The following is a 17,329-nucleotide window of genomic DNA, read 5'->3' as shown; positions in this document are numbered from 1 at the left end:
GCTGAGATCATGCCACTGCACTCCAGCCTGGTTGACAGAGACTCTGACCCCTCCCCCGCCCCCCAAAAAAAGACGAGATTTTTAAAGACAAGCAAATATGGGTTCCAATCTTAGCTCCACCTCAATGTGTACGATCCTGGCAAGTTACTTCACTTCTATGCCTTAACTTTCTCGTCTACAAATTGACATCTAATTCACAAGACCACTACAGAGAAATGAGGTAATGTATATAAAGCAACTGGTACACACACCACCTAGCAGAGAGTAAATACCTAATATGGCACCTTATTCTTACGCAAAATTAAAATCTGCAGAAACAGCCCTAAAAAGGTCAGAACAGTTGTTAAGTAAAAGCATCTAAATATCATGAATAAGAGGGAACTCAGAAAAATCCTTGCTTCTCCTAGGGAGGGTTATTTGCTAATTTTATCAATCCTTTCAGAAATCCCTTCATTCCAATCTCAAAGAGCAATTTAATTTAATAAGTGTCACATTTGTAGCCAAGAGATTCAAAATATTACAGAAAGGGCTGTAAACCACCTCGCCCTATTTTAAGAGACGAAATAACCTAATCACACAGCAAGTATTTCTCAAGTCTCTAACATGCCCAAGGAAGACGACAGAGTTGCAGTAAAGGGCATATGCTTTCAATCAAGCAGCCCTAAAGCTCAGATTCCCATTCTTGTGTGATTTTGGGCAAGCTACTTAAAACTCTTTTAAGCCTCGTTTCCTTTGTAAAACAGAGACAATAGTATCACCATCACAGGTTGTCAGTCACTCTGCAAAGAGCACTTAACACTCAACTATGAACTCTTACTATCAACGTGAAATAATCCAAATATGCAGGCAATTTAGCGGTGGCTCACGCCTGTAATCCCAGAATGCACGCCTGTAATCCCAGAATGCCGAGGTGGGTGGATCACCTGAGGTCAAGTTCGAGACCAGCCTGACCAACATGGTGAAACCCTGTCTCTACTAAAAATATGAAAATTAGCCAAGCGTGGTGGCAAGTGCCTTTAATCCCAGCTACTCAGGAGGCTGAAGCCAGAGAATTGCTTGAACCCCGGAGGCAGAGGTTGCAGTGAGATTGCGCCACTGCACTCCAGGCTGGGCAACAGAGTGAGACTCTCAAAAAAAAAAAAGAATCTTCTCTAGGCAATCTTCTATAGCAGGCTGTGTTCTAAACTCCATCAAAGTGAAAGTCAATTATACACCCCTGAAAACAAAATAAGAGCACTCACAAGGCCAGGCGCAGTGGCTCACACCTGTGATCCCAGCACTTTGGGAGGCCGAGGCAGGCAGATCTTCTGAGGTCAGGAGTTCCACACCAACCTGGCCAACATGGCAAAACCCGTCTCGACTAAAAATACAAAAATTAGCAGGCACGATGATGCACACCTGTACTCCCAGCTACACAGGAGGCTGAGACAGGAGAACTCCTTGAACCCAGGAGGCAGAGGCTGTGGGTGAGCCAAGATCATGTCATTATACTCCAGCTTGAGTGACAGAGCGAGACTCTATCTCAAAAAATTTTAAAAAAAGAGCATTCACAAGAGTATTTGATTAGAAGGGAAGAAAGATTACAGTAAGATTTTCCCTCAAAATATTAGGAAAACACAAGGTTTTTTGTTTTTTTGTTTTTTTAATGCCCTACACATACATTTCCACTTCAGGTAATTTATCCAAAAAGAAGGAAATACTTTATCAAGAAACAATGAGATGCTGTATCATCAAAACAGTTAATGTAACAAAAAAAAAACAAGTAATAATACACCACAGGATGAAATGTTATACATACTAAAGATGACTGTGAAGGCCTGGCGCAGTGGCTCACGCCTGTAATCCCAGCACTTTGGGAGGCCAAGGCAGGAAGATCATAAGAGGTCAGGAGTTCCAGACCAGCCTGGTCAACATGGCAAAACCCCATCTCTACTAAAAATACAAAAAGTAGCCGGTGTGGTGGCTCGCACCTGTAATCCCAGCTACTCGGGAGGCTGAGGCACAAGAATCACTTGAACCCGGGAGGCGAAGGTTCCAGTGAGCCATGATGGCATCACTGCATTCCAGCCTGGATGACAAGAGCAAGACTCTGTCTCAAAAAAAAAAGTTGTGAAGGTTACCAACAAAGTAATACAATGTTATTAAAAGCACATAACTGTTAAATCCTTTTTTTGTCCTAAAGGGGAAAAAAGCGCAAAAGAAATTTAACAGTAGTTGTGCTGGTATGTGTGCAGTTGAAGAACAAGATCCCAAGCACCTAACAGACCCTCTCTATCTAATTAGGACACAAGTTAGGACCTAAAACATCTGTTAAAATAGAGTAGGTTCTTGGAAGAACGAAATCCTATTAACTTATTACAAAAGTTATCTAAGTAAGATATCTAAATGCCTACTACAGCATTACACTGGGTAACAGAAATCTTGCCTTCAAAGGCCTTTAACACATTTCAATAATTTACTAAATGCCTACTCTGTACCAAATTCTATGCTAGAAAGTTCATCATACATCATCTAGTATACTTTACTGGTTATAAGGAGAAGAGGCTAACAACTGTAGTAGTCTCAGATTGCTACAATTTTACACTATGAAATATGAGTGCCACAGATTTTCAGAGTAAACATGGGAGAGTAATCTAAAATAATGTGAAAATAAATCTCTAGTTAGATAGGAGTATCAGGAGAAAAGGCACAAGCAAGCATGCAAAGTGGAAAAAAGAAACAAACAAAAAAAAACTATGAGTCCAAGTCATATAGACTCTAAAAGCTAAGCAGAACAGTCACTTCTTCCATATCCATGAACAGTGTTTTAGGAGTATCAATATTGTGCCTGTATTCCAAGGTGGGCTGCCAAAGACAACCAGATAGTCAAGGAAGTCAGCTAAGAAACTAGGGTAATAATCTAAGATTGAAATGGAGGATCTGCCCTGCGGTAGTAGCATAGAAATAGAGAATAGGTCATCAGGTTGGAGGTGGAGTGTTTAAGGACAAAGTTATAAAGACGTTTTTTGGTTTGAAAAATTAGAGGATAGGTTTGTACCATAGACAAATGGATAAGTTCGGAAAAAATCTTTTTTTTTTTTTTTTTTTTTTTTTTTTTTTTTTTAAATAGAGCCACGGTCTCACTATGTTGACCAGGCTACCAGGCTCGTCTCAAACTGCTGGCCTCAAGCAATCCTCCCACCTAGGTCTCCCAAACTGCTGGGATTACAGGCATGAGCCACCATACCCAATCAGAAAAAAACTCTTAAGATCAGGCAACTTATGTTCTTATACATGCACCAAAAAGACAAATCTTTTCAGAATCAGCACAGAGTAATTTGGTCGTAAGTCTACAAGAATGAAATCATGCCAGCCTATATCAGAAATCCTAAACAAGCAGACATTTGCAGCATAAAATAAGTCACTACATTACCTAGGCAGCAAACGTGACAAATTCAGAACCTTTCTTTTAAAAGTTATGAGGTGAGATGCCAACTACAAAACAAACTATGATTATTTAGACTTTCTTTGTTCTAGCTGATGAGGTAGAAGTACCTACATTCAGATTCTCAAACAATTTGTCTTATAAACCACAAGCCATTTTTTAAATGGGTCAAACAGCCAGGCATGGAGGCTCACGCCTGTAATCCCAACACTTTGGGAGGCCAAGGCAGGCACATCATTTAAGGCCAGGAGTTTGAGACCAGCCTGGCCAACGTGGTGAAACCCCGTGTCTACTAAAAATACAAAAATTAGCTGGGTATGGTGGCACATGCCTGTAGTCCCAGCTACTCGGGAGGCTGAGGCAGAATTGCTTGAACCCAGGAGGCAGAGGTTGCAGTGAGCCAAGATCACGCCACTGCACTCCAGCCTGGGTGACAGAGTAAGAATCCGTTCTCCAAAAAAAAGAAATAAATAAAATAAAAAAGGGTGTTCCATAGGGGTGATGGGGAGGATGAAACGTCATCAAACAAGTTTAAGAAACATCAAGTTAGGCCGGGCGCAGTGGCTCACGCCTGTAATCCCAGCACTTTGGGAGGCTGAAGGGGGCGGATCACTTGAGGTCAGGAGTTCGAGACCAGCCTGGCCAACACGGTCTCCACTAAAGTGGAGATGGCCAACATCTCCACTAAAAATACAAAAATTAGCCGGGCATGGTGGCGGGCACCTGTAATCCCAGCTACTCAGGAGGGTGAGGCAGGAGAATTGCTTGAACCCGGGAGGCAGAGGTGGCAGTGAGCCAAGATCATGCCACTGCACTACAGCCTGGCTGATAGAGCAAGACTCCATCTCAAAAAAAAAAAAAAAAAAAAAAAAAAAAAGAAAGAAACATGAAGTTAAACTGATTGACCGTCTAACTTCCCTAACCCTTTAAAATAAACTTATATACATTATGATTTCCAGGATGAAGATATAATAAAGGGTTTCTTTTTTTTTTTTTTTCCTGAGACAGAGTTTTGCTCTTGTTACTCAGACTGAAGTGCAGTGGTGCAATCTCGGCTCACTGAAACCTCCACCTCCCGGGTTCAAGCGATTCTCCTGCCTCAGCCTCCTGAGTAGCTGGGATTACAGGCACATGCCACCACACCTGGCTAATTTTTTGTATTTTTAGTAGAGACGGGGTTTCACCATGTTGGCCAGGCTGGTCTCGAACTCCTGACCTCAGGTGATCCGCCCGCCATGGCCTCCCAAAGTGCTGGGATTACAGGCGTGAGCCACTCTGCCCGGCTGGGTTTCTAATTTATCTGACACCCAAGCCCATGGAAATGTCTTTCAGATATTCTGAAACACACTAAGCCACACAGGCCTTACTCTAAAATTATCCCCTACCCTCATCTTTACTAGCTTATCAACTATTAGGATGATCTAACATTTCCTTTGCCCCTATGATGAACAGAGCAAATAAACAGCACGAATAAAATAGCAAAATAAAAAAACACTGATATCCATAGAACTATCCTTTCAAGTTATAAACCAAACTTTACACATTCTAAAATCTAATCACTTATTTTAAAATCTTGTTAATCTTAAACCCTATAATAAAAATGTTTTTTAGGCAAGCAAGTGATATGAATGTATTAATTCCATTTCAGAATTTATCTAAAACTGAGTTCTTCTCCAATAGTATTCAGCTAATGAAACAAATACTAGTAAAGTTGTAATGAAAATCCCTGAAACCAGAGATAAGTGTTATTCAAGTAACATTATTCTTTCACTTCCCACTCCTCTTCATCTGCTTTTATATAGATTAAAAACAAACTAAAAATATTACAAATACTCCTAAACTGTCTTCCAGCAAAGCAAATGAACCATAGCTGAAATCTTGTTTATGCTTTCTTCTACTAAATTTATCCTCTTTTCTCATACCCCTTAACACTAATTAACATAATATTCTTTTATTCCACCTCCATCTCCCTCTGGTTTAATCATCTGTTCCTCATTTGATCTGTTCTCAGACACCTCTCCTCCTTCCACATGGAGTAATGAATTGCAATAATCTTTTTTTTTTTTAATTTTTTGAGACGGAGTCTCAGCTGTCACCCAGGCTGGAGAACAGTGGTGCATCCCCGCTCACTGCAGCCTCTGCATCCCAGGTTCAAGCGATTCTCGTGCCTCAGCCTCTCAAGTAGCTGGGATTACAGGTGCATGCCACCATGGCTAATTTTTGTATTTTTAGTAAAGACGGGGTTTCACCATGTTGGCCAGGTTGGTCTTGAACTCCAGCCCTCAGGTGATCTGCCTGCCTCAGCCTCCCAAAGTGCTGGGATTACAAGCATGAGCCACCGCACCCAGCCTACTGATAATCTTTCAATTGAAAAGGACGTAGATGGCTTCAAATGGCCACTTAAGACACAGAGAATGGACACAGGTAATAAACACAGGTGTTCCTGAGACACTGATCCCCCAGCTCTCAGGGATAGTCCTGGAGAATTTCTCCTACACCATATAGTTAAAGAAGGAAAAAGGAAATATCAGAGAAATAAATTCAATCTGGCCCTTGAAAAATAACAGGCTGGGAGCCGTGGCTCACGCCTGTAATCCCAGCACTTTGGGAGGCCAAGGCAGGCGGATCACCTGAGGTCAGAAGTTCAAGACCATCCTGTCCAACATAGTGAAACCCCGTCTCTACTAAAAATACAAAAATTAGCCAGGCATGGTGGTGTGCGCCTGTAATCCCAGCTACTTGGGAGGCTGAGGCAAGAGAATCGCTTGAACCTGGGAGGCAAGGTTGCAGTGAGCCAAGATCGTACCACTGCACTCCAGCCTGGGCAACAGAGCGAGAATTCTCAAAAAAAAGAAAAGAAAAATAGCAATAATTTTTTCAGGCGGGTAGCTGAAAAAGATGATTTTGGTTCTTAACATTTTCCCTTGAAATTGGAAATATGATTTTAGCAAAGAAAGCAGAAAACATGTTTACATTTGACAAGCTAAATGCCAAGTCTGTATTTCACCTAAGTTTTCATAATGAATATGAATTATCCTAATCATATGCTTAGACCATTCCTCGTCACCACAATTAGTTTTCAATAAAATGTCACTTAAGTTCAAATGTATAATTAAGGCCCCGTGCTGTGGTGGCACATGCCTGTAATCCCAGCTACTAGGGAGGTGGAGGCAGGAGAATCACTTGAACCTGGGAGGCGGAGGTTGCGGTGAGCCGAGATTGCGCCATTGCACTCCAGCCTGGGCAACAAGAGCAAAACTCCGTCTCAAAAAAAAAAAAAATTAAGGCCCGGTGCAGAGGCTCACAACTGTAATCCCACAGCTCTGGGAGGCCAAGGTGGGAGGTCACTTGAGGCCAGGAGTTCAAGAACAACCTGGGCAACATAAAAAGGCCCCATTCTCTACAAAAATATATATATATATTTACAATTAGCCAAGTGTGGTGGTGCGTGCCTGCAATCCCAGCTACTTGGGAGGCTGAGGTTGGAGGATCCTTTAAGCCCAGGAGTTCAAGGTTACAGTGAGCTATAATCACACCACGCACTGCAGCCTGGTGACATAGCAAGACTCTATCTCTAAAAAATAAAAATAAAATTAAAAAATACGTAATTCGGCTGGGTGCGGTGGTTCACGCCTGTAATCCCAGCACTATGGGAGGCCAAGGTGGGTGGATCACCTGAGGTCGGGAGTTTGAGACCAGCCTGACCAGCATGGAGAAACTCCCAACATGGAGAAACCCCATCTCTACTAAAAATACAAGATCAGCCAGGCATGCTGGCACATGCCTGTAATCCCAGCTACTCGGGAGGTTGAGGCAGGAGAATCACTTGAACCCGGGAGGTGGAGGTTGCAGTGAGTGGAGATCATGCCATTGCACTCCAGCCTGGGCAACAAGGGCAAAACTCCATCTCAAAAAAAAAAAAAACTTTAAATAACACATTAGTTCCTGATAATGGGCAGACATGAGGCAATTCTACGTAATAGGCAGGAAGCAACAATTCCTTTAAAAACTAAATATGCTTCAGATTCATTTTCAGATTATGATCCTTGCAATAAATTGTGGTACACTGCCTAAAATAAACCAGGTTATGCTTCCATAGGAAAATAAAATGAAATAAAGCATTCACATTGTTTCCGAAATTTGAGACATCACTCTAGCAGTCCTGAAGAGGGTGCTTCAAGCCTTAATACACATAAAAATCATGTGGGGATCTTATTAAAATAAGATTCTGGGTCAGTAAGACTGGGATGAATCCTGATAGTTCTAATGAGCTCCCAGGTGACACTTATGCTGATGGGTCCACAGACTATACTGCATACCTGAGGCCTGACACCCTTGCTTCTATGACAACGGTAAAGGTAACGGATAAAAATGTAAAGGAGGCCGGAATGCAGCGGCTCACGCCTGTTAATTCCAGCACTTTGGGAGGCCGAGGCAGGCAGATCACGTGAGGTCAGGAGTTACAGACCAGCCTGACCAACATGGTGAAACCCCCCCACCTCTACTAAAAATACGAAAATTACCCGGGTGTGGTGGCGGACACCTGTAATCCCAGCTACTCAGGAGGCCGAAGCAGGAGAATCACTTGAACCCGGGAGGCAGAGGTTGCAGTGAGCCAAGATCATGCCACTGCACTCCAGCCTGGGTGACAGAGCGAGACTCTGTCTCAAAAAAAAAAGAAAAAAAAAAGGTAAAGCAATCTCCACTTCATTTAGAAATGTTTTTGGGCTAGACATAGTGGCTTATGCCTGTAATCCCAGTACTTTGAGAGGCCGAGACGGGCGGATCACCTGAGGTCAGGAGTTGGAGACCAGCCTGACCAACATAGAGAAACCCCATCTCTACGAAAAATACAAAATTAGCCAGGGGCGCTGACGCATGCCTGCAATCCCAGCTACTCAAGAGGCCGAGGCAGGAAAATTACTTGAATCCAGGAGGCGGAGGTTGCGGTGAGCCGAGATCGCGCCATTGCACTCCAGCCTGGGCAACAAGAGCAAAACTCCATCTCAAAAAAGAAAAAAGAAATGTTTTTGGATTCATCAGATTAGTCCGGGAGAAGGATGGTTATTAAAATGTTTATGTTTGAGAGAAACACAGCTTCTCAAAGATGGCGGGGAAGGGTCCTCACAGTTGTGCCAAGAGCAAAAATCTATACAGCACTCACTATGTGCCAGTGAACAGTCCTAAACACTTCATATATATTAATTCAATCTTCCTAACACTGCAGCCCTGTTAGGTAAGCACTACTGCTACCCCTATTTTAGAGGAAGTAAACCTGAGTCACAAAGACGTTACTTAGACTGCACATACCTAATAAGTGGCAGAACCAGGATCTGAACCCAGGCAGTCTGGTTCCAGAGTCTATGCTTTTAATCATTATAGTAGCAATATACCAATCAAGAACACACAGCAGAATTGAAATGGCAAATGGCAATGGCTTAATTTTACAGAAAAGGATGCAAGGTTAAAGTGTAAAGCATTACAGAACAACAGTAACAGAGCCTAAATCAGACTTTGTCTTAAGGTGATAGAGCACCAGTGCTTAGTGAATACCATGGCTGAACAATATAGTTTTCTGCTCTATTAGAAATTGTTCTGGACTTTAGTATAATGGCTAATGCCAAATCTTTGATTTAAAAAATATTTTTCTAAAATTGCAAAAAGGGACGCCACATTGGTGGCAGAAAGCCTGGTTTCACTTCACGGAATAAGCAGTTTGAGATCAATGTCCCAGAAGAGTTTTGACATTCAGGACTTAAAATAGCAGCAGCAGCAGCAGAGGTAGCTGAAATGGCAAGTAATGAAAATTGCTTTAGTAAAAATATTTTGGACTGAAGGTATGAGAAACTAAAAGTAGAAACTAGTAAGACACAAAGCATAACATGACCAGGAATCTGATACAGTAGTGAACAAGCGGTAAAAGTTATTTGCAAACAAAGAAATAAAGGAAGATAAGGAAACAAACATTAAGTGAATAATTTTTAGGAGAGTAAGAGAACTAGTAGTCATCACAGATTTTCTAAGTGATGGTAAATTGTCCAGACAGTGCAGCTGCAGAAGATACTGACCTAAACAGATGGAAAAAGTCAAGCAAGAGTAGATTAGTAATCACTACTTCAATGAGCCCAAATAAAGATATGGCTGACCAAGCACAAAAGCTGTCTCAGGAAACACAGCAAAAAGGCCCATGGAATATTAGGGAAAACGTTAACCCTCAGACATCATCAAATTCATTCACTTAAAAAATATTTCTTAAAACCTACTGTATGTATGGCAGTATTCTAGGCATTAGCAATGGGGTGACCATGCCAGGCCAAAGCCCTGCCCTCACAGAACTTACAATCTAATGAGGAAATCTATGTGGAAGAGAACACTGAATAAGGCATTACCATAAAATTCCAGAATGAAGCCTTTTAATACAGAGAGATATTTTCATGGAAGATATGTTAACACAATATTTAACCCTCTCTCCCCTTCAAAGGAAGCCCTGTAGCCTAAGGTGCTCATTGTTTCTCATCCTCTCAAAAAAAAAAAAAAAAAAACTCTAAAACAATAGAGAAGTGCATTTAAAATACATCTATAAATAAAAGCACAACTAGTCTTTTACTTCCAAGAAAGCCTGTCAGCGGCACAGCAGCTCATGCCTATATCCCAGCACTTTCAGAGGCCAACAGGAGCAAATAGCTTGAGTTCAGGCATTCCAGATCAGCCTGGACAACATGAGGAAACCCGATCTCTACAAAAGATACCAAAATTAGCCGGGTCTGGTTGCATGCACCGTAGTCCCAGCTACTGCAGAGGCTGAGGTGGAAGGATCAGTTGAGCCTGGGAGGCCGAGGCTGCAGTGAGCTGTGATCACACCACTGCACTCTAGCCTGGGCGACAGAGTAAGACCCTGTCTCCAAAAAAAAAAAAAAAATCACCAATTTTTTTTTTAACTCCCTATACTACTCTAGGCTATAACATCTGCCTTAGATTCCCAAAAAATTAAGTTTAATACGGACAGGTATTGGTTGTAACATGAAAACATTTTAAGAGTATAAACAGAGGATGTGATACCTTTCTGGTCTTGAAGAAATTACTGAAAACGAGCTCATTCAATACTTAGTTGATTACCAAACTCTTATCTCCATCTCAGTATAAAAACTATAAATTCAGGCCGGGCACGGTGGCTCACGCCTGTAATCTCAGCACTTTGCGGGGACGAGGCGGGCGGATCACGAGGTCAGGAGATCAAGACTATCCTGGCTAACACCGTGAAACCCCGTCTCTACTAAAAATACAAAAAATTAGCCGGGCGTGGTGGCGGGCGCCTGTAGTCCCAGCTGTTCGGGAGGCTGAGGCAGGAGAATGGTGTGAACCTGGGAGGCGGAGCTTGCAGTGAGCTGAGATTGCGCCACTGCACTCCAGCCTGGGAGACAGAGCGAGACTCCTTCTCAAAAAAAAAAAAAAAAAAAAAAAAAAAAAAAAAAAAAAAAAAAAAAAAAATATATATATATATATATATATATATATATACATAAATTCAAACTACTGTTACTTTCTAAAAGGAAAGATACAAATTGATATTATTTAAAATTATTAAAAATAGAAAGCTCAAGAAAATAAGGCAGATGTGTTCCAATTTTATATGCCTAAAATATTACATCAAGGCTAACAAATGTATTTCAGAAGATTCAAGTTCCACACCTATCCAATGGTCTGTAATGCCTACACACTACAGAAAGCTGCCTTGAACCTACACTCCTTTTAAGTGTTTACCAATCTGTTCTCTATAGAAATGAGAAACAGTGGGAAAGCACTTGTTTCGACATGAATTATCTTTACAACAATGCATTACACAATTGGATCTCATTTGCTTTACAGAGTCAACATTTTTGTGTGATACTATTGCAGTCGCGGAAGGATACAAAATTTAGAATGTAAACACCCTAGGGAACAAAAATTGTGATCTCTGCTTGACCCCAGGAGTCCGAGACCAGCCTGGGCAACATGGCGAAACCCTGTCTGTACAAAAAATACAAAAATTAGCGGGGCATGGTGGTACATGCCTGCAGTACCAGCTACTCGGGAGGCTGAGGTGGGAGGCTCACTTGACCCCGGGAGGCGGAGGCTGCGGTGGGCCAAGATCGCGCCACTGCACTGCAGCCTGGGAGTGCAATATCCATTATATTTAGTAACGTCTTTGAGACCCTGTCTCAAAAAAAATAAAAATTGTGATCTCAAAATTATGAAAATATTAAGTTTTTTGCTTAAAGATCGAAGTCTCGTTTTTAATAACAAAACTAAAATGTCTAGCATAGATCAGGCATAAACTGATCCTCTTTTCAACACAACTTCACCACAAAAAGTGCACTTGAATCAACCTAGGGAGATTCCCAGCATGCAGTAAGTCATAAAGGAGAATAAACAGTCTGGGAAAGTCATTTTGGACCGAAAAGTGTTCCCACAAATAAACCCACCTCATTCTAGTATAGTCAAAGGGACCTCTATTTAAAGTTAATGCCACGCAAGGGGCCGTGGACGGTGTTGTCTTACACTTTATTCCCTGACACAAACTAATCCTGGGATTTTAAACCTTCCTAGCTTTTAGGTGCACTGAAGGCGGTCATGAACACAAGTAACAAGCTTTCAAAACATCATCTGTGAATACGACGTGTTGGGAAGCAGGCAGGATAAGCCACTGGGTGACCGACTAAGGCTGCAAAATGCTGTTTGAATTTAAGTCCCTGACTTGTAGGAGTTAAGTCTCACTCCTTATACCGCGATGACGTAATCTTCCACACTACATTTATCTTGGACTTAAAGGGGAGGAAAAACAAACGAACAAAGAAAATTCCCCCCCGATAAGAGGAATTAACCAAGCAGCAGAACGACGGCTTCGGGAGGTAGTTAGGTAACTCCCCGAAAGGGAAGCTTCAGCTAAACCGGCAGGGAGCGGGCTGGAGGAGCGGATGGAAATGCTAGGAACTCGACCTCCGAAAGGAAGAGCAGCCTGGAGGCCGTGGCTCGGGGCCACCCCGCCCAGAGGACGCGGCCGGCGCGGAGGGGAGCTCGGACAGGCACCGCCGCGAGCAGCCAGCGAGCTGCCCTCCTGCCACCGCCCCGCCGCGGCCGCAACGCCACTCCCCTCCCCCGCCCCCCCACCCCCGCCGCAAAATGTCCGCGGCGGCGCCCGGCGAAGCAGGAAGTCCAGGCCGGAGCGCAGGGCACGGAACGCAGCCTGCCAGCACGGAAGACCGGCGCCCGGCCCGGCCCAAGCGCCCGCGAGTCGCTCTGAGGCCCCCGGCCGCCCTTAGGAGCCCGCCGGGCCGGGCTGGGGGGAGGGGAGCCCGGGCGCCCAGGATGGGTGTGACCCCCTTCCTTCCGCCGCTGCCGGTGACAGCCCGGTCCCGCTCGCGCCCCGAGCCCCGGCCGCGCGCCCCTCCTCAGACGGGCGCCCCCTGCCTCCCCGGCCGCGACCCCCGCCCCGGCTCCCCCACAGAACGCGGACCCGCGCCCGCCCGGAGGACGCAGCGCGAGCCGGGCACTCCCCCACAACCCGTGCTCCCGGGCCCCCCACGATCCCGCAGACGGGGTGTCCCCGAGGACTGGGAGAGGACGGAGACGGCGGGGATGGGAAGGTAGGGTGGCAGCTCCCGCGGGGAACCTCGGGCCCCGCACTCACCTCAGCTTCTCCACCGGGGCGTTGGCAGCACTGCGCGGGGTCTCCTCGGCTGCCGGACAGGGGCACGCACCTGACGTCAGCGCGCAGGAGACGCACAGTTGGGTGCCCGCGGAAGTGGGAGGAACAGGGAAGGGGAAGAGGCTGGGGCGGGTCAAGGCGGTGCCTGGACTGCCCTGGCTCCGCCCGCCTGTCGCGCACGCGCGGGCCGGCGCAGCTCGTGAGTTCGGGGCTATGCTCTGCATGTTTTCCTAATGGTTGTATTTGTAATAATACTGTGAACGATAGTATGCAAAGCGCTTCCTCTACCAGTTCTTTTTTGTTTGTTTTTTCTGAGACAGTCTTGATCTGTTGCCCAGACTGGAGTGCAGCGCGCGATCTCAGCTCACTGCAACCTCCACCCCTTGGGTTCAAGCGATCCTCCTGCCTCTGCCTCCCGAGTAGCTGGGATCACTGGCACCTGCCACCACGCCAGGCTAATGTTTGTATTTTTAGCAGACACGGGGTTTCACCATTTTGCCCAGGCTGGTCTCGAACCCGTGACCTCAAGTAAGTGATCCACCTGCCTCGACCTCCCAAAGTGCTGGGATTACGGGCGTGAACCACCGCGCCCGGCCCACTACCAGTTCTTTTGATCCTTGCAAGCTTGTGAAGCAAGGTATTGTCCCATTTTGCAGAGAAGACGGAAGCTTCTCTGAAAGGGCTGGTGACTTGCCCCAGATCACAGGGGTGGATGGTCTCTCACTCCCCGGGCCTGTATTCAGTCCGCCGTGATGTGAGAACTGAGTATCACTCTTCTTATCTCTACCTACACCCAGTGTCCCTCGCTGTAGCCACATGGGTCTTTTTTAGAGTTACAACCTTCCCCCAACCACAGGCCTTGTGTTTTTGTTGTTGTTGTTGTTGTTGTTGTTGTTGTTTTTTCTTTGAGACGTTCTTGCTCTGTCACCCAGGCAGGAGTGCAGTGGCACGATCTCAGCTCACTGCAATCTCGACGTCCCGGCGATTCTCCCACCTCAGCCTCCCAAGTAGCTGGGACCACAGGCGCATGCCACCATGCCTGGCTAATTTTTGTATTTTTTTGTAGACACAGGGTTTTGCTGGATTGCCCAGGCTGGTCTCGAACTCCTGGACACAAGCTATCAGCCTGCCTCAGCCTCCCAAACTGCTGGGATTACAAGGTGTGAGACATTACGTCTGGCCAAGGCCTTGAATTTCTTTGCTCTGCCTCCCTCCTCTTCCCCCAAATTTATATCACTGCATTCTTCAATCATCCTATCTTCGCAGTATCTATTATTTGTCTTCTCTGCTAGTATGAAAGCTTCAGGAAAATAGAGAACTTCCCTCTCTTATTCTTAGATGTTTCCCCATGTTAGAGAAAAATCGCTTAAATTGCTTATCCTAGGCCGGGCACGGTGGCTCATGCCTGTAATCGCAGCACTTTGGGAGGCCAAGGCGGGCGGATCACGAGGTCAGGAGATCGAGACCATCCTGGCTAACACGGTGAAACCCCGCCTCTACTAAAAATACAAAAAAATTAGCCGGGCGTGGTGGCGAGCTCCTGTAGTCATAGCTACTCGAGAGGCTGAGGCAGGAGAATGGCGTGAACCCGGGAGGCGGAGCTTGCAGTGAGCCAAGATCGCGCCACTGCACTCCAGCCTGGGCAACAGAGCGAGACTCTGTCTCAAAAAAAATAAAAAAAAATTGCTTATCTTAATAACAGCTCATTTATTGTCTACTGCCACAGCTATTTGGCCAACAAAGACACTTAATTCCAGTATATTGACTTATAGTCATATTTTCTTTTGGATTTTTTTTTTTTTTTTGAGACGGAGTCTCGCTCTGTCACCCAGGCTGGAATGCAGTGGTTCGATCTCGGCTCACTGCAATCTCCGCCTCCCGGGTTCAAGCAATTCTCCTGCCTCAGCCTCCCAAGTGGCTGAGACTACAGGTGCCCACCACCATGCCCAGCTAATTTTTGTATTTTTAGTAGAGACGGGGTTTCACCATATTGGCCAAGCTGGTCTTGAACTCATGACTTTGTGATCCACCTGCCTTGGCCTCCCAAAGGGCTGCGATTACAGGTGTAAGCCACCGCACCCAGCCCTCTTTTGGATTTTTTAATTACCCAAAAATAAGAACTACATTTTTTAGTGTTTACTGCAGGTATGGCTAATAGCTTTGCAGGTAGTAGTAGCTAATTTAATACTCACAGCCACCCTATGAGTTAAGAACTGTTACCCCCACTTTATGGTTACATGAACTGAAGCTCAGAGGTGTTAAGAGACTTGTCCATAGCCGCCATGCCAAGCAGTGGCAGAGCTGAGACTTGCACTCAGGAGGCTGGCTCTAGTTGACTATGACACTACCACACTATCAAGCAGGTTTATTATAGAGAAATTAGAAGATAAGCTTCAGGCCAGGCACAGTGGCTCACATCTGTAATCCCAGCACTTTGTGAGGCTGAGGCTGGTGGATCACCTGAGGTCAGGAGTTGAAGACCAGCCTGACCAACATGGTAAAACCCCATCTGTACTAAAAAACACACACACAAAAATTTGCTCGGTGTGGTGGCAGGTGCCTGTAATCCCAGCTACTTGGGAGGCTGAGGCAGGAGAATCATTTGAATCCAGGAGGCGGAGGTTGCAGTGACCCCGAGATCATGCCATTGCACTCCAGCCTAGGCGACAAAAAAGTGAAACTCTGTCTCAAAAAAAAAAAAAAAAAAAAGCCAGGTGCGGTGGCTCACGCCTGTAATTCCAGCACTCCGGGAGGCCGAGGTGGGCGGATCACTTGAGGTCAGGAGTTCAAGACTAGCCTGACCAACATGGTGAAACCCTTTCTCTACTAAAAATACAAAAATTAGCTGGGTGTGGCATGCACTTGTATTCGCAGCTACTCGGGAGGCTGAGACAGGAGAATCGCTGGAACCTGGGAGGCAGAGGTTGCAGTGAGCCGAGATTGCGCCATTGCACTCTAGCCTGGGCAACAAGAACAAAACCCCACCTAAAAAAAAAAAACAGGAAGATAAGCTTCAGCTGTAGTCCTACCTCTAATGTGGCTCACACCTATAATCCTAACACTTTGGGAGGCCGAGGCGGGTGGATCACTTGAGCCCAGGAGTTCAAGACCAGTCTGGGCAACATAGCAAGACCTGCCCCCACCCATCTCTACAAAAAATACAAAAACAAAACAAAACAAAAAAACTACATTGTGAACATCTTTCCATGTCAAATAAAGCATCATTTGTAAAGGCTGCATTTTACTCTCCGGGCATTGCAATATTTACCCAGACTCCTACTGTTGGAATTTGGGTTGTTTTGGGCTATTGTGAATTTATTACTATTGTAAAAATGCATAAGCTTCATTTTTTAAACTTGAGGGGAAAATGGTTGTTTCTTCCCTTCACAAGTCCAGCTGGCAGTGCCCTTTCCTTCATCCTGTCTCACAATCCCATGAATGTCCCCAGACAACGTCTGCCCTTTCCAGTAGCAGCAATATCTTGATGGGGTGTCACCCAACTGTTCAGCTTTTCCTGCCTTTATTCTGAGGACAAGGACTTACTTAGCACTATGTCTTTTATGTTGTCAGGTTTTTTGTCAGAAGAACCCTCCTAGACCTTTTCACAGCCCCAAACAGCAGTGGCAATGGTGTTACTATTACTTGACCCAATCTACCATGTCCCTCACTGCTGGCCCAGCCCCCAGCCTCCTAGTGCCTCCCCGCTACTGCCCCACTGCTATAGCTGCCTCATGTTAACAGGAGGGACAGCCTGTGGGACTCCGGCTCCCTTCCCGGTGGCTACCATTCCGGTGTCCATTCTTCCTTCTGGTAACAGCACTTCCATTTCTCCTAGAGCAGCCCCTGCCCCAACTCTCAATCCATGTGGCTCTAGAGATGACACTATCTCTAGTTGCGGGAATGGACACGTGACCCAGGCTTGGCCAATCACAGCATTATAGAGAGCCCTGTTGCCACACCATTTCAGCAACAGGCATGTGACCCAATGAGATTTAATTCTGGAACTTTGGTCACAACTATTCAGTTCAGTGAATCTCTGTTTGCTGAGAGTAGGATGTAATCGTGGCACTGCTGGCAGCCAGCTTCCCACTGCAAGCAGAGATGCTGCCTGAGAATGAGACCAAGACAGAGGGGGAAACAGAACTGAGAGATGGAGACATGAAACCAAGTCCCAGTGGCATTGCATGAGACATCAGATCCAGTCTTGCTTCAATCTTCAG

The 17,329-nt window shown here is 45.3% G+C and overlaps 1 protein-coding gene across 3 annotated transcripts in view, besides 8 other annotated features; it reads right to left on the bottom strand.

The window, feature by feature from the left end:
- Nucleotides 1–13,125, bottom strand: part of CDC42 (cell division cycle 42) — a 48,652-nt gene extending 35,527 nt beyond the window's left edge. For all 3 annotated transcript variants that reach the window (NM_001039802.2, NM_001791.4, NM_044472.3), the window contains exon 1: nt 13,092–13,125. The gene's annotated coding sequence lies outside the window, so the exon portion shown is untranslated. The remainder of the gene's footprint in view (nt 1–13,091) is intronic.
- Nucleotides 3,506–4,006: an enhancer, noted in NCBI's record as "H3K4me1 hESC enhancer chr1:22388321-22388821 (GRCh37/hg19 assembly coordinates)". NCBI's record gives its function as "activates a minimal SCP1, AML or CMV promoter by ChIP-STARR-seq in primed H9 embryonic stem cells {active_cell/tissue: H9 hESC(primed)}" and the evidence as "EXISTENCE:reporter gene assay evidence [ECO:0000049][PMID:30033119]".
- Nucleotides 4,007–4,507: an enhancer, noted in NCBI's record as "H3K4me1 hESC enhancer chr1:22387820-22388320 (GRCh37/hg19 assembly coordinates)". NCBI's record gives its function as "activates a minimal SCP1, AML or CMV promoter by ChIP-STARR-seq in primed H9 embryonic stem cells {active_cell/tissue: H9 hESC(primed)}" and the evidence as "EXISTENCE:reporter gene assay evidence [ECO:0000049][PMID:30033119]".
- Nucleotides 11,568–12,136: an enhancer, noted in NCBI's record as "H3K27ac-H3K4me1 hESC enhancer chr1:22380191-22380759 (GRCh37/hg19 assembly coordinates)". NCBI's record gives its function as "activates a minimal SCP1, AML or CMV promoter by ChIP-STARR-seq in primed H9 embryonic stem cells {active_cell/tissue: H9 hESC(primed)}" and the evidence as "EXISTENCE:reporter gene assay evidence [ECO:0000049][PMID:30033119]".
- Nucleotides 12,137–12,704: an enhancer, noted in NCBI's record as "H3K27ac hESC enhancer chr1:22379623-22380190 (GRCh37/hg19 assembly coordinates)". NCBI's record gives its function as "activates a minimal SCP1, AML or CMV promoter by ChIP-STARR-seq in naive and primed H9 embryonic stem cells {active_cell/tissue: H9 hESC(naive and primed)}" and the evidence as "EXISTENCE:reporter gene assay evidence [ECO:0000049][PMID:30033119]".
- Nucleotides 12,137–12,826: a biological region, named in NCBI's record as "H3K27ac hESC enhancer GRCh37_chr1:22379623-22380190".
- Nucleotides 12,417–12,596: a silencer, noted in NCBI's record as "silent region_396". NCBI's record gives its function as "represses an Ori minimal core promoter by ATAC-STARR-seq in GM12878 lymphoblastoid cells {active_cell/tissue: GM12878}" and the evidence as "EXISTENCE:reporter gene assay evidence [ECO:0000049][PMID:35858748]".
- Nucleotides 12,607–12,826: a silencer, noted in NCBI's record as "silent region_395". NCBI's record gives its function as "represses an Ori minimal core promoter by ATAC-STARR-seq in GM12878 lymphoblastoid cells {active_cell/tissue: GM12878}" and the evidence as "EXISTENCE:reporter gene assay evidence [ECO:0000049][PMID:35858748]".
- Nucleotides 12,887–13,036: a silencer, noted in NCBI's record as "silent region_394". NCBI's record gives its function as "represses an Ori minimal core promoter by ATAC-STARR-seq in GM12878 lymphoblastoid cells {active_cell/tissue: GM12878}" and the evidence as "EXISTENCE:reporter gene assay evidence [ECO:0000049][PMID:35858748]".

The sequence above is a fragment of the Homo sapiens genome, chromosome 1 (genome assembly GCF_000001405.40).
Source record: "Homo sapiens chromosome 1, GRCh38.p14 Primary Assembly".
Taxonomy (NCBI): domain Eukaryota; kingdom Metazoa; phylum Chordata; class Mammalia; order Primates; family Hominidae; genus Homo; species Homo sapiens.
Note: the sequence above shows the minus strand (reverse complement) of the source record. Positions and strands in the feature narration are given on the sequence as shown.